The sequence below is a fragment of the Homo sapiens genome, chromosome 6 (genome assembly GCF_000001405.40).
Source record: "Homo sapiens chromosome 6, GRCh38.p14 Primary Assembly".
NCBI classification, from domain to species: Eukaryota; Metazoa; Chordata; class Mammalia; order Primates; family Hominidae; genus Homo; species Homo sapiens.
In genome coordinates this window covers 85,508,315-85,522,041 of record NC_000006.12, presented here as the reverse complement: position 1 = coordinate 85,522,041, position 13,727 = coordinate 85,508,315, and the positions used below count along the sequence as shown (strand labels likewise).

At 36.5% G+C, this 13,727-nt stretch overlaps 1 protein-coding gene across 44 annotated transcripts in view; it reads left to right on the top strand.

Moving 5' to 3' along the window:
- The window catches only part of SNX14 (sorting nexin 14), an 88,363-nt gene that overhangs the window by 71,817 nt on the left and 2,819 nt on the right, over positions 1 to 13,727 (top strand). For 41 of the 44 annotated variants that reach the window (NR_146774.2, NR_146775.2, NR_146779.2 and 38 more), the window contains 5 exons: positions 3,994 to 4,034; positions 4,167 to 4,286; positions 7,413 to 7,536; positions 7,808 to 7,972; positions 8,147 to 8,242. Coding sequence is in view for 38 of the 44 variants with exons in the window: in XM_047419128.1 (XP_047275084.1) it covers positions 3,994 to 4,034; positions 4,167 to 4,286; positions 7,413 to 7,536; positions 7,808 to 7,972; positions 8,147 to 8,242 (546 nt within the window). In the remaining 6 variants the exon portion in view is untranslated. Of the gene's footprint in view, positions 1 to 3,993; positions 4,035 to 4,166; positions 4,287 to 7,412; positions 7,537 to 7,807; positions 7,973 to 8,146; positions 8,243 to 13,225; positions 13,723 to 13,727 lie in introns of those variants that run through there. The other 3 variants (NM_001350541.2, NM_001350540.2, XM_011535977.3) reach the window with 2 other exon arrangements.

Genomic DNA, 13,727 nt, shown 5'->3' with positions numbered 1-13,727 from the left:
TAAATTTGACAGAGGTGTCAAGAACCTACATGGGGGAAAGGACACCTGTTTCAATAAATAGTGCTGGGAAAACTGGATATCCATATGCAGAAGAATGAAACTAGACCACTATCAATCACATAATAAAAAAATCAAACTCATAGTGGATTAAAGACTTAAATGTAAGACCCCAAATTATAAAACTACTAGAAGAAAATGAGGGGAGGATGCTTCTCGACTTTAGTCTAGGCAAAGATCTTATGGCTAAGACTTCAAAAGCATAGGCAACAAAACAAAAATAGACAAATGGGGCTAGATTAAACTGTTAGGTTGGTGCAAAAGTAATTGTGGCTTTTGCCTTTTTTTCTTTTAAACAGCAAAAATCTCTCTTTTGCACCAATCTAATAAAAGGCTTCTACACAGCAAAGGAAACAAGCAGCAGAGTGAAGAGACAACCTGTAGAATGGGAGGAAATATTTATGGATATTTTACCTGTATGTTTTGCAACTATTTAACCTGTACAAGGGGAGAGAATATTTGCAAATATTGCAAATTCAGTTAGAAGACAATACAGTAGAAAAATGGACAGAAGAAAAATAATTTCACCAGCCTGGGCAACGTAAGTGAGACTCTGTCTCTACGAAAAAAAAACAACAAAAAAGTAGCTGGGTATGGTGGTGTGCATGTGTAATCCTGGTTGTTCCAGAAGCTGAGGCGGGAGGATCACTTGAGCCCAGAAAGTTCGAGGTTACAGTGAGCTATGAGCACACCACTGTGCTCCATCCTGAGTGACAGAGTGAGACCCTTTCTCTAAAAACAAAAGAAAAAACACTTCACAAAAGAGGAAATCAATATATGGTCAATAAATACATGGAAAGGTGCCTAATTTTATTAATAGGGAAACTCAAATTAGAATCATGTTTGGGAAACACCGCATTCACCAAAGTTTTTAAAAGTCTGATTATACTAAGTGCTAAATATTGGTGCAGATGTAAAGGAACAGGAACTCTTACACACTGTTAGTAGGACTATAAATTGAAAAACTACTTGGAAAAATTGTTTGGTATAAAAACTGAAGGACCCAGCAGTTCCTCTCTCAGATATATACTTTGGAGAATCTATCCATGTTTAAGAACGTTCATAGTAGAGTTCTTTGTATAGCCCAAACTAGAAACAGCACAAATGTTCATCAGCAATTGAATGGACAGATAAACTGTGGTAAAGTCATAACGTTGAATACCCATATCATGAGGCTACTAGCAACAATGTGGATGAACTTTTAAAAATGTTGAATGAAAGAAACAAAACATGAAAGAATATATACAGTCTGATTCTTTTTACATAAACATCAAAACAGACCAAACTAGTGTAAGCTGGAAAAGTTTGAATAAAATTGTTAAAAAATCGTTGGGCGTGGTGGCTCACACCTGTAGTCCCAGCAATTTGGGAGGCTGAGGCAGATGGATCACTTGAACTTAGAAGTTCAAGACCAGTGTGAGCAACATGGTGAAACCCTGTCTCTACTAAAAACACAAAAATTAGCTGGGCATGGTGGTGGGCGCCTGTAGTCCCAGCTACTCAAGAGGCTGAGGCAGGAGAATTGCTTGAACCTGGGAAGTGGAGGTTACAGTGAGCCGAGATTGCACCACTGCACTCCAGCCTGGGCAACAGAGCAAAACTCCATCTAAAAAAAAAAAAAGGTAAAAAATAATATAGCATTGACTAGTTGCAGTGGCTCACACCTGTAATCCCAGCATTTTAGGAGGCCGAGGTGGGTGGATCACTTGAGGTCAGGAGTTCAAGACCAGCCTGGCCAACATGGTGAATCCTTGTCTCTACTAAAAATACAAAAATTAGCTGGGCGTGGTGGCGTGCACCTATAATCCCAGCTACTTGGGTGGCCTAGGCAGGAGAATTGCTTGAAACTGGCAAGTGGAGGGAGCCGAGATCATGCCACTGCACTCCAGCCTGGGCGACAGAGTGAGACTACATCTCTACTACTATTACTACTACTACTACTGCTACTACTACTACTACTACTACTACTGTATAAAAGCAATATTTCTAAATATATTTTATTTTTTATTCATTTGTATTCATTATGGTTTTTAGAGACAGAGTCTCACACTATTGCCTAGGCTGGAGTGCAGTGGCACAATCATAGTTTTTTTTTGTTTTGTTTTGTTTTGTTTTTTGAGACGGAGTCTCACTCTGTCACCCAGCTGGAGTTCAGTGGCACGATCTCAGTTCACTGCAACCTCCATCTCCCGGGTTCAAGCGATTCTCCTGCCTTGGTCTCCTTAGTAGCTGGGATAACAGGCGTGTGCCACCACGTCCGGCTAATTTTTGTATTTTTAGAAGAGACGGGGTTTCACCATGTTGGTCAGGCTGGTCTCGAACTCCTGACCTCGGGATCCGCCCGCCTCGGCCTCCCAAAGTGCTGGGATTACAGGCGTGAGCCACCACGCCCAGCCAACACAATCATAGTTCACTGCAGCCTCAAATCCTGGGCTCAAGTGATCCTTCCTGCCTCAGCCTCCCAAAGTAGCTAAGACTACAGGTACACACCAGCACACCTGGCTAATTTTTAAATATCTGTAGAGATGGGATCTCGCTTTGTTGCCCAAGCTGGTCTTGAACTCCTCAATTGATCTTTCCACCTTAGGTTCCCAAATTGTTGGACTTACAGGCGTGGAGCCACCCTGACTAGCCTCTAAATATATTTTATATGATGTAATCTGAAGTAATGTATATGGAACTAAATCAGTGAGTTAAATAATGCAAGTAGACATTTGGCTTCTGTCTATACCCACACCCCCACCCAAATCAATACATTTATTTGAGTCAAAATATTTAGTGTTTGTGTATCTTTTTATTGGGGGAAAAAAGTGAGGACAAAATATTTGGTTATATATGGCATTTAGGAGATTGGGTATTCCTGGTTACTGACTAGGTTTGATTGAAGAAGAAATGATCAGGGATGATCCAAGTTTCTATTTAAATAACTGGATGAATGCTGTTACTTGTTGGAATAGGGGATACATTAAGAGCAGTTTTGAACTTACTGAGTTTATAGAATCCAGTTGAAGTTTTATAAAGCAGGAGAGTCCAGGAGACAGGCAGAGATTAGAGATTTGAATTTTATTTGAAATCAGATTGAGCAAATAATTTGGCTCAGTAAGAACACATAGAAGACAGAAAAGCATAGGATGAAACCATATAATTTAAAGAACTTGGGAACATTCTAAGGAGGGGGTGTTATGAGAACCAGAAATACCAGAAATAGCCAAATGGGAAGGTTGGGTGGTTTGCCTGTCACAAAACAGTATTTTTATTCTTTATTATTAATGTCCCCTTCTATTGCCATAAATCTACTTTTTTCTGATTTGTTCAGAAAGCAGTTTAAGTTGTATTTATCAATTTTGATTGATTTTTAAGTCATTTCTAAATGCTGGAGAAAATCTCAAGATGTTTGATGTTTCAAATTAAGGGAAGCTGGAGATCAAGAAGTAATTTTGGCAAACATAGGATTTAGAATAGAAATTCTTAATCTAAAATTCAGAATATAAACTACTGAAATAGTTTTAAATATTGAGGCAGTTCTTAAAACTTTTTTTTGACTGACCTTTGCATATCTTTAGATACCATTATATATTCACTGTTACTGAAAACCCTTTGAAAATATTTCTTATAGAAATTTTCACAAAAGTAGACAAAATTATGTAATAAACTTCTTACTCAACGTTGTTATCAACCCTTGGCTTGTTCCATCCCTTCTCCCACCACTTACCTCACTGGATTTTTTTAAAGTAAATCCCAAATATTCTATCTATAAATATTTCAGAATACCATATTTATTGAAAATTTCCATGGAGTGTGAAATGGTCAATCATAAATACTTTTACAGTTTTAACTTGGCTATTTCGTATTTAAAATTACCTGGTTAAGTATTCATGTGAGCAATTATGAAGAGTTTTATGCCTTCCTAAAATAATGTTTTACTTTTAATTGCAGGGAAAATTATAAAATCTGTTCCTGGAAAACTAATGAAAGAGGTGAGTAACTGATTTATGTGTGTTCTATAACATGATAATCATAAACATATTTAAATATTGATAAATTTTGCTGGATTATGTACTAAAAATTACCTTTATTTTTTATTTTCTTACAATAATCTATCACCACAGAAAGGTCAGCATTTGGAACCTTTTATCATGAATTTCATTAATTCTTGTGAGTCTCCAAAGCCTAAACCAAGTAGACCAGAACTGACCATTCTCAGCCCTACTTCAGAAAACAACAAGAAGGTACTGCACATTGCATTAAAGAACTATTAAGTTTTAAGTTGCCCTACTTGAGATTACTTTTTCATTGTCGAGAGAATGAATACTTTGTTAATGAAATGGATTGAGCTATACATTTCCTTTATGTGGAAATCAGTTGAACGGTATACAGAGGGTATTGTGTGTAATTACTTGGTTCTTTGCTTTAATGTGGTAAATGTTTCTCTGGATACTATATTTGCAAACTGATGCCACTTCTGTATTTGGGGATTTTTAAAAGTGGTTTTCTTAGGTTATATGTCACCAACTTTCAATAATAAGAAATTAATTGCTATACTGTGTTTATGTTTATTGGATGGCATTACCTAACTTTCATGGCTTATAAAGTATTTTATCCATTCATTAAACAAACATTTTATTACATGCCTACGATTGAGTGCTAGGCACTGGGAATATAAGGATACATTCCTTGTCCTCAAGAAGGTGTTTAGTGCCAAGGTGTAGTGCCCAGCATGGGGAGCTATGGAAGCTCAGAGGACCTCTATCTTTTATTTTTGTTAATACTCTGAATGGTATCTTTAATATTATTAATGTTTTCATTTTATAACTTGTATATATAGATAGAAAATTTTTATTTAGTCGTCTTGCTAGACTTAACATTAGTTTTAGTAATATCTGGTAATTCTTTTATATTGACACAATTGTTGCAGATGATTGCAGTTTTGTTTTATTCCTGACTAGGACTGCTATATAGAAAGGAAATTGTTTAATTATTTCACCATCGAATAGTGTGGTGTAGCTCTTTTTGTATTAATAGATAACCTTTATAAGATTAAGGAAGTTGCCAGGTGCAGTGGCTCACATCTGTAATCCCAGCACTTCGGGAGGCCAAGGTGGATGGATCACTTGAGGTCAGGAGTTTGAGACCAGCCTGGCCACCTTGGTGAAACCCTGCCTCTACTGAAAATACAAAAATTAGTCAAGCGTGGTGGTGGGTGCCTGTAATCCTAGCTACTCGGGAGGCCGAGGCAGGAGAGTCGCTTGAACCTGGGAGGTGGAGGTTGCAGTGAGCTGAGATCGCGCCACTGCACTTCAGCCTGGGGGACAGAGCAAGACTCTGTCTCCAAAAAAAAAAAAAAAAAAAAAAGATTAAGGAAGTTTACATTCATGTTTATGGGTAGAATATAGCCTATAATTTTTCTTTCTCATTCTGTCCTTGTTAGGTTTTGGTATCAAAGTTTTATTAGCATTTTTTATTTTTGGTAGACTTTTTATAAATATTTGATAGAGTTGGTAAAGTCATCTAGGCCTCCAGTTTTGTTTGTAGGAAGATTTTTTATAACCAATTTAATTTCTTTAACAATTACAAAATTCTTCAGGTTTATTACTTCATGAGTCATGAAGGTTACAAAATATAACCTATTGAACTCATGCTAGGAATGCTAGGAATTTGTCAGGGAGAAAAATAAGAGAAGAGCTTATAACATGTAAAGGTGTTTATTAAAATATTGTTTACATAAGTGAAAAATTGGAAACAACATGAAATTCTAACATTGTAGGAATGATTATTTTAAGGAACATCTATTCAAGGAGTGTTTTGCAGCAGATGAAATTGTGCTTATGAAAACTATAAAGCAACATAAAGATATTTGATATGGTGCTAAATGAAAAAGTAGGATGTGATATTTTTTGAACCTCATTGATTTGTGGCTATGTATATAGAGAGTACAAGTTAATATACAAAAGTTTAATAGTAACACTATTAGGTGGTTGAGTTTTAATTTAAAAGTTTAAATGCCCCTTTGCTCTGTGTCACTTTATTTAGCCTTAGTGATTATTGTCAACAGATGTAATAAACTGTATATCTCTTTATTATTTCAACTTTTATTTTAGATTTCTGCTTAAAAATAATGCAAACCGTGCTGAAAATACAGAGGGAAAACAAAATTGAGTTGTTTTTCCCGTTTTCCAGACTTACTATATAATATCACTGTTTTTTAGTGAAAAAAAAAATTACACTGAAAATTTAAAAGAGTAGAGGGAATAATATATCAGAAGGGAGAGCCCTTTTCCTATTTTTTGGGTTGGGGAAAAATGTTTTAAGTATGTGTCTGTGTTAATAATATCTGACATAAGAGCCAATAGAATATATGGTCTTTGTTCTCAGGATACTTTTCTAGGAGGCTTTTAAAAAATTCATCTTCAGGTAAAATCGAATATACTTTCCTCCACAGTCTCCTTACTTCTCTTCCCTCTCCCCTCCCCTCTTTCTCCCTTTTCACAGAGTCTCACTCTGTCACCCAGGCTGGAGTGCAGTGGTGCAATCTCTGGCTCACTGCAACCATTAATTCTTAATATCTTGTTTTAGTTCCCCCCCACCCCAACATTGATTAGGCCTTTGTGGGCTTTGAATATTGTCCAAATAAATTTCACCTAACGCTGGATTTTTACCTCTACTTATAGTGATTTATAATCTTTAAATCATGTTAGTGTTTTTTTTTTTTTTTTTTTTTTTTTGACGGTCTTGCTCTGTCACCCAGGCTGGAGTGCAGTGGCACGATTTCGGCTCACTGTTACCTCTGGCTCCCAGGTTCAAACTATTCTCCTGCCTCAGTCTCCCAAGTAGCTGGGACTACAGGCACGCATCACTACACCTGGCTAATTTTTTTGTATTTTTAGTAGAGATGGGGTTTCACCATGTTGGACAAGCCGATTTCAAACTTGCGAGCTCAGGTGATCTGCCTGCCTCCGTCTTCCAAAGTGCTGAGATTACAGGCGTGAGCCACTGCGCCTGGCCTAAATCATGTTAGTTTTAAAGTTAGCTATCAATAATATATTTGTACATCTTTTTATGTTACTTTGCTTTTGTGGTATGTAAAAACAAAGGGGTCTTTAATGGATAATGAATTATCTACTGTAACTAAAATGAATATTTTAGTTTTTATGTAATATTTTTGGGGAACATGTATTTTTTATTGCAATTCGGGGCATAAATGGGGAATTTTAGAAGCATATATTAACCTATCTAATATTCTGTTTTGATTGGAAAAAGTTTAAATGCCTTTGCTGTGTGACACTTAATCCTTATTGATTATCGTCAGCAGATGTAATAAACTATATATCTCTTTATTATTCCAACTTTTATTTTAGCTTTTCAATGATCTGTTTAAAAATAATGCAAACCGTGCTGAAAATACAGAGAGAAAGCAAAATCAGAATTATTTTATGGAGGTGATGACTGTAGAAGGAGTCTATGATTACCTGATGTATGTAGGTAAGATCTAAGTGGTTTAAGACTTGTTTTTCATTCATCTTACTTCTTCTGTGATGCAAATAATGATCTTGAGTATTGCCCCATCATAACTGTCTTTTTAATTGAAGATACCTTTTATAATAATTCAATACGATTGGCCTTGATCATATTAAAGTTGCTAGTGTTTACAAATAAAATATTGACCATGGTCATTTGTGTTTTCTACATTGGCAAATTTCAAAAATACCAATTCATCTGGAACAATGAGGTATCCCATTTGATCCTTTCTCAGGACGGGTAGTTTTCCAGGTTCCTGACTGGCTTCATCATCTCTTAATGGGAACTCGAATCCTCTTTAAAAACACCCTGGAAATGTATACTGATTACTATCTTCAGTGTAAACTAGAACAGCTATTTCAGGAGCACCGTTTGGTCTCACTCATAACACTTCTCAGAGGTTTGTATTTTCTAATGTGTTTGTTTCATATTTTGTGTACTCTATGATTTTAATTGAATCTAAAGAGGAAGAAATCTTGTTTTGCTTTGGTTTATTAGTATTTCTACTATGAGGAAATCCTTTGTGTATAAATAGATGAAAATTCCAGAAATATTTCTTTTTACTCTTTTTTAGATGCTATATTCTGTGAAAACACTGAACCTCGCTCTCTCCAAGATAAGCAAAAAGGAGCAAAACAGACTTTTGAAGAAATGATGAATTACATTCCAGGTGTAATATTTAAGAAGTAACTTAATTTCATATAGATTAGCAGTCCGTTGAGGTCACAATGTATAGTAATTATTGAAGCTAATTTTTTACTGTGAGTTTTCATTTTACAAATAGTTGCAAAGATCAGTTAAAATTAACACACTAGTTAAATAATTCTTTCAGATGTTAGCACTAAGACTAAGATATTAGGACTTTAAGGCAAGGCTGTTTCTACTCACATAATAGCCAGATTCATTCAAAAATAACTTATAGTCAGACTGGTCAAAGTGACATGTGGGACAATTGAAGGCCTGTGTCCACGACACCATAAGAATAGCTCACTAGTGTGTATGATAAAAGATCAGAATTCATTCATTCCAAATTTATTGAGCACCTTCCATATTCCAGGCACTATGCAAAATGCAAGGCATATAAAAAATGCACTTGAGTAGGTCAGTCTAGCAGGAAGACAGGCATATAGACAAAACATACATGTGATAATAGAGGCATTTTCAAGTTACAGAGATATCACAAAGGAGGAGGATGGTCACCTCCTCTGTAAAGTTGGTAGGTTTGGGCCACTAAGGAAATGAGTGGTAGTAACCTCTTAACTGTGACGGGAAATAACAAGGAAGAAATGTCAAGGGATCAAAGCAGGTGATTCTTAGTTTAGAACATTTTGAATGAGAAGTGCCTATAAATTACTCAGGAGGAAGTGTCTGTTAAACACTTAGACACCGAGGTTCAAAAGTTGGAGAAAAGGTGGTATAGGATAGATTAGTAGAGATATGGGAGCCATGTGTGAGTAGATACTAAAGCATAGGGAGAAAGTATGGAGTAAGAAGAGAAAAGGGTGACTTCCAGTTTCTGGTCTGGCACATAAGAACCTGGCCATCATCACTCCATCCTAGTAACAAGCAAAAACCTGAATGAACTAAAAAAACTAAACAACTCTTAGATTCACCAGAGAGTGAGGTCATACGGCAAGCCACTGCCCCCCAAGGTTGGAGAGAATCATAGCTAGCTGCAGCAGAAACCCGTGAACTCAAAACCCCTGGAGAAGCCAGTGCTGAGCTAGGGAAACCTGAACTATAACTGACAAATTGCTACAGCCTTTTAAATCTCTTTTTAAGAGATTAAAAACTCCAGGGGAACCAAGTCATGGGGTTACCCATCCACATTTTTTTTTTTTTTTTTTTGAGACAGAGCCCCACTGTGTCACCAAGGCTGGAGTGAAATGACACGATCTCTGCTCACTGCAACCTCCGCCTCCTGGGTTCAAGCAATTCTACTGTCTCAGCCTCCCGAGTAGCTGGGACTACAGTCCTGCACCACCACGCCTGGCTAATTTTTGTATTTTTAGTGGAGATGGGGTTTCCCCTTGTTGGTCAGGCTGGTCTCGAACTCCTGACCTCAGGTGATCCACCCGCCTCGGCCTTCAAAAGTGCTGGGGTTACAGGCGTGAGCCACCGTGCCCAGCCCATCCACACTTTTTTTGTGAGTTTTACCTCCAGGGCCTTGACCAAGATCCCACAGTGAATATTGGAGAAAAATCCCCATGTGCTTCTGGCAAGGGGGCCAGAAGGGAACCATTTTGAAATACATCAGTCAGGGCATTCTGTTCTTGACAAGGCCCTACCCTCAGTAGAAAGTGACCAGAGCCTGACTGACCTGATGGAAGGGAAAGAACCAACTCTAGCCAGCCCTGGCCTTCCACATGGAAGAAGGGAAATACCCAACTCCAATACACTCTAGCCATCTTGTCCTGTGCAAGGGGGTCAGGGGGGCCTGAGAAGCATGTGTGAAGTTCACAGTTCAGTGGTACAAGCTCACTAAAAGATTGAGACCCCCTCCTAGGACTATAGAACCCTTCCTCTCCCTCCATATTTTATCACCACATTACTAAAGGCCTGTTTGCAGCAGTTCCTCTTAACTTGTGTGTCATGTCCAGTTATCAAGAAAAAAATTACAAGACATATTAAAGGCAAGAAAAAACAGTTTGACGAGAAAGAGCAAGTATCAGAACCAGAGTCAGATATGGCAGGGATGTTAGAATTATACACCAAGTGGGATTTATCCCAGGTATTCAAGGCTGGTTCAGCATTCATTCAAAAGTCAATTAAGGTAGTCCATCATCACATCAGCAGGCTAAAGAAGAAAAATCATGATCATAGCAGTAGATGCAGAAAAAGCATTTGACAAAATCTAACACCCACTTATGATCTCAGCAAACTAGGAAGAGAGGGGAACATCCTCAACTTGATAAAGAATATCTACAAAAACACCTATAGCTAACATCACACTTGATGAAAAACTTAAAAGCTATCCCACTAAGATGAGGAACAAGGCATGCTCTCACTACTGCTTTCAACATTGTACTCGAAGTCCTAGTTAGTGCAGTAAGACAAGAAAAGGAAATAAAGAGCATAGTGATTGGGAAGAAAGAAATAAAACTGTCTTTGTTCACAGATGACATGATTGTCTATGTAGAATATCCAAAAATTGACAAAAATGCTCCTGGAAATAATAAGCAATTTTACCAGGGTGGTAGGATATAAGGTTAATACACAAAATTCAGTTACTTTTCGTGTATATCATCAGTGAGCAAGTGGTATTTGAAATTAAAAAAAATACTATTTGCATTAGCACCCCCAAAAGTGGAATACTTGGGTAGTAATCTAACAAAACATGCACAAGATTTATATGAGAAAAATTGTAAAACTTTAATTAAAGAAATCAAAGAACTAAATAAATGGAGAGAGATTTTATGTGGATAGAAATATTCTGTTTTCAAGATGTCCGTTCTTCTGAACTTCGTCTATAGATTCAATGCAGTCCCAATCCAAATCCCAGTAAGTTGTTTTGTGGGTATTGACAAACATTTTAAAGTTTATATGGAGAGGCAAAAAGACCCAGAATAGCCAACTCAATATTGATTGAGAACAACAAAGTCACAGGATTGACACTACCTTTCTTCAAGGCATACTATAAAGCTACAGTAATCAAGAAAGTGTGATATTAGCAAAAGAACAGACTTACAGCAACTGTTCTTATTAGCAAAGGAACAGTTTACAGCAAAACTGTAAAACTTAGAGGATAACATGGGAGAAAATGTAGATGACCTTCTGTTTGGCGATGACTTCTTAGTTGCAACACCAAAGGCATGAACCATAGACGAAATAATTGATAATCTTTACTTCATTAAAATTAAAAATTTTGCTTTGTGAAAGACACTATAAAGAATGAAAAGAGAAGCCACAGACTGGGAGAAAATATTTGCAAAAGACGTATCAGATAAAGGACTGTTACCAAAAATGTACAAAGAAATCCTGAAACTCAACAATAAGAACACAAACAACCTGATTTTAAAATTGGCCAAATATCTTGACACCTTACCAAAGAAGATTACACACAAGCATATGAAAAGATGTTCTACATCATATGTCATCAAGGAAATGCACATTTAAAACAATGAGATACCACCACACACCTGTTAGAATGGCCCAGATCCAGAACACCAACACCACCATTTGCTGGTGAACATGTGGAATTCTCATTCATTGCTGGTGGGCATGCAAAATGGTGTAGCCACTTTGGAAGACAGGTGAGCAGTTTCTTACAAAACTAAGCACACTCTTACCATGAGATCTGGCAATTATGTTTCTTGATATTTACCCAAAGCAGTTGAAAACATGTCCACCCAGAAACCTGCACATGAATGTTTATAGCAACTTCAGAATTGCCAAAACTTGGAAGCAACCAAGGTGTTCTTTATTTAGGTGAATGGATAAATAAACTCATACTTCTAGACAATGGGATATTATTCAGTGCTATAAAGGAATGAGCTGTCACATCATGAAAAGTCATGGAGGAGCCTGAAATTCATCTTACTAAGAGAAAGAAGCCAATCTGAAAAGACTGCATACTGTATATTTTCAACTATCTGCTGTTTTGGAAAAGGCAAAACTAAGAAGACAGTGGATTGGAGGGGAGGGAGGGATGAATAGGCAGAGCAGAGAGGATTTTTTGGGGCAGTGAAACTACTCTATAATGATGGTTACATATCATCATCTATTTGTCCAGACCCACAGAACGTACAACACCAAGAACGAACTCCAATGTAAATTATGGACTCTGGGTAATAATGATGTACCAATGTGTGTTATCAGTTGTAACAAATGTACACTCTTGTTGGGGATGTTGATAGTCGGGGAGACAAGACAGGGAACATATGCGAAATCTCTTCCTTCTGCTCAGTTTCATTGTGAACACAAAACTACTTTAAAAAGTAAAGTTTATTTTAAAAAGAGGAGGTCTTAGGACAGAACCTTAGAGAATTCTTAATATTGAGGAACTAGCCTTAGAATAGTTCTGCTCTTCCTTGTGAAAATAATTAACTTAAATATCTGCTCTGAATATAAAACTGAACATAAGCTGTTTTTGAGTAAATTTTCTGTAGGCAAATGATGAAATAATTTTTTTTTACCTGTTTTCTGATATAATGACCCTTAGCATTCATACTTTCAACAGTCTCAGCTTTGATACTCAGAAACAACATGGAGAGCCAGAGAATATAGTAATTTGTTATTTTGCTGAGGCACAAATTCAAACCACATTCACTTTAAGACTCCCGTTTGGGAGAGTAACTTAGCTCTTGAGCAAGCTTACCATTCCTTTGTGTTATCCTCTGCTCCTCATCTCTTACTTAGTGACACCTGAAGGATGTGAAAGAATTACGTATATTTGTTCATTAGTTTCATGCATATTAATTGGGAAATTCCATGTAGTATTGGTGAGTTTGAGGATTAACAAAGATTTGTATTGGGCCACATATCTTGAAAATACCAAGGATGTACTATGCCTATTGTAAATTAAATTTGGCTTTGTCTCCTAGCATTAGAATTTTTTATGACCAACACTAGGAGTTTAGTTATGATAGGGGAAAAAGGATAAATATTTGAGTACCTTGTTTATATAAGAATAACTTCTTTTTTTTCTGCTTAGGGAAGCATTCAGTGGAGATCTTAATAAGGATTGACTTTTCTTGGTAACAGAATTGATATCAGTGGTACATGACATCTATGCAGCCAGACACAAATCTGAACTCGTTGGACCCTAAATAAGTGTTTAAATATTTGTTATATTTCCCAAAATGATTGGTTTGTAAGATGGTTAATAGTAACTTATGCAAAAGTCCAGAAATTAGGTGTTCTTATTCACTGAGAAAAGTCTGCCTTAAAAATTAAACTTTTTTTTTCTGATATTAAGAGCACTATGAAAATATATAGAATAAAAAGTAGAAGCTATCTTCTGCCCACTGGGTAGAAGTCGGCTTATCCTACATTGGGTGTTAATCCTTACATTTTTCCATGCATTTCTATACATGTATGTACAGATGTACAAACATCATTTTAGGGTTTAATTTGTTTTGTTTTCCCTTAGTGGGGTAATACAATAAGTATTATTTTCCAACTAGCAGATTTTTTTTTTTTTTTTTTTTACTGCA